General features: G+C 37.9%; 1 long non-coding RNA gene across 1 annotated transcript in view; it reads right to left on the bottom strand.

The window, feature by feature from the left end:
* Positions 1-303: 303 nt before the first annotated feature.
* The window catches only part of LOC105370266 (uncharacterized), a 28,223-nt gene continuing 25,975 nt past the window's right edge, over positions 304-2,551 (bottom strand). Inside the window, exon 2 of the long non-coding RNA XR_942099.3 lies at positions 304-1,865. This is a non-coding gene — a long non-coding RNA (uncharacterized LOC105370266). The remainder of the gene's footprint in view (positions 1,866-2,551) is intronic.

Genomic DNA, 2,551 nt, shown 5'->3' with positions numbered 1-2,551 from the left:
TGTCTCATCCTTAGAGTTGACTTGTTCCAATTTTTTGATTCAGATAGTAAGAATGCAGTAGTCAGGGGAAAAATTTCTGGCTGAAGTGCCAGCATATCCTATCAGGTATTTCTTAGGTTTTGTCACAGTGCCACTTGACTAGGATGAAGAGGATAACAGCCATGGAGGTGTTATCATCATGCTGCTGGAAGGCTGACAGTCCCTCACTGAGTAGGTTGAAGGGATGTGTAAATGAACCAACTCGGTATTTTAGTGGAGCTCTTACTATCAACCATTTGCTCAAATAAACTTAAAAGACAATAGTTATATCAACTCTTACAGCTCAATAGCTTTATTTCTAAGAGAAAACATTCACATCAGAATTTTCCATGGTAAGTCATAACTTGGGAACACTTGGTTCAGCATATCTTATAAGGCACAAAATTTAATAGAATAAAATAGAGATTAAATTTTAACATTTTAAAACGTGTTTTTATTTTACTTGTTCCTATGACACTATGTCCTGTAACCCCATCTCCTGTTCCCTCTCAATCGGTTTAATTGTCATACATTTTCTTAGCACCAGACATAAACTGAAAAATCTAAACCTAAAATATTTTTATGGACAGATTGACAGAAACTGGATTTCATATTAGGAGACATTGTTAGTTTGGAACAACATGTTCTTTTAAAAAGTACAAATGGCCAAGGACTTCTGTCAAAATTCATTTTGAAAATTAGAAAGTAAATAAAGCAAACATAAGAAAAACTTCCCTTTAGCTTTTTTTTCTCTGTTATTACAATATATTTTTTTAAATGACAGCAGCCTCCATTTATCGCTTCACCTATTGATGTAACCATAGTGGTATCATTGATTTCCAATTTTGAGGCAATCTTTTTCTTGCTGTTGGAAGCCCAAGTCTATTCATTTATTATTGTGTGTACTCAGGGGAGGGAGATGAGCCCATTGATCTAGTGGTGCACCAGCTGGTAAATATTTAATGTTTATTCCCATCATTAAAATTATTTTAGGTTGGGATATTGACAGTTATTCACATGCACAGATTGGTATAGCCTACAGTACATAACATACTCTTCAGTCGGTTTTACTTCATTGCAGCTTTGCAGATTGACTTACTTGCTGTGTAGTAGTTTTGCAGCGTTATTTTCCAGATGGTTGTCCTATTGTTCAGATTTGAATTTCAGTTAAACTTGATGTCTTCTGGTGGAAGGATTATGTAAAAGACACTTGATCCCTGCACCTGAACATTGTTAGAACTTTAGCATCCTCGAATGTACTTAAGAATCATCAACCTTTATAACGATCATAACACCTATGTTTTCTCATGTTATTTCTTACTAGAGATCCTTTGCTGCACCAAGAGAAATTCTACTTTCAGATTTTCATAATGCAATGAGTACTTTGCTTCTTGCCATGCTAGTTATTTAAATTTAAACCTTTGCTTTTATTTTGGGATCTTTGGTGGTCTGCCCAACCTCAGTCTTGGAAGCCATTGTCATCTTCCCAGGTATCATATACCTGCTGGTCCTTACAGGGGATCATGAAGGCCCAGACATATCTGAGACAGTTCTTCTAGAAACCCATTTCCTGCTGGGTTGGCTCTGATCAGCTCGAATTTTGACATCAAGGTCACGGGGCTTTTTGATCCTTGCATTGATTCTTGCCTTTTGTTCTTGGATTTGACACTTGGCTTCTATCTTTTGGCCTTTGAGCTTCCTTTTTTCCCCAACAATTTTTGGTCTGGCTGTCCCCCTGGCTCTGAGTAGTCACAGCTTCTTCTGTTTTTCATCCAAGCCGAAAGTATCCAGTCTTGATCCTAGCCAAGTACCTGATCATCAACACAGTTGAGTCAGACCAGCTGCCCCTTCAAGAGGAAAAATTCACATATTGTTTGATCTTTTCTGTCTCCTTTACAACAAAACAGGTATAAGACTCCTGCTTTCTGATTAGGGGCTTCAGAGGTTCTGTGCTATTATAGAAGTATTTCTAGTTCCATTTAAAAATTGTAAATTAATATTAACTACAGCTTATTCATTAAAAATTACACATTCATTGGCTTCTCTACCGAATTAGTTCTATAATTTCTCTCATCTTTGGGGAAGCTCGTGAGAGTCTGAGATAAGTAGGATCTCTAAACAAACTTTTGGCTAGTCATACTTGTGAAATAAACAGGAAATTGGAAAACAATGAAATATTCTACCTATTGTATGTTTAATTCAGCAAGTGCATTTTTTTTTTTTTTTTTTGGAGATGGAGTTTTGCTCTTGTTGCCCAGGCTGGAGTGCAATGGTGTGATCTCAGCTCACCACAACCTCTGCCTCCCAGGTTCAAGCAATTCTCCCGCCTCAGCCTCCCAAGTAGCTGGGATTACAGGAATGCACTACCATGCCCGGCTAATTTTGTATTTTTTGTAGAGACGGGGTTTCTCCATGTTGGTCAGGCTGTTCTCAAACTCCTGACCTCAGGTGATCTGCCCGCCTCGGGCTCCTAAAGTGCTGGGATTATAGGTGTGAGCTACTGCACCCAGCCTCATCAAGTGCATTTTTAAAA

This window comes from Homo sapiens, chromosome 13 (genome assembly GCF_000001405.40).
Source record: "Homo sapiens chromosome 13, GRCh38.p14 Primary Assembly".
Classification (NCBI taxonomy): Eukaryota; Metazoa; Chordata; class Mammalia; order Primates; family Hominidae; genus Homo; species Homo sapiens.
Note: the sequence above shows the minus strand (reverse complement) of the source record. Positions and strands in the feature narration are given on the sequence as shown.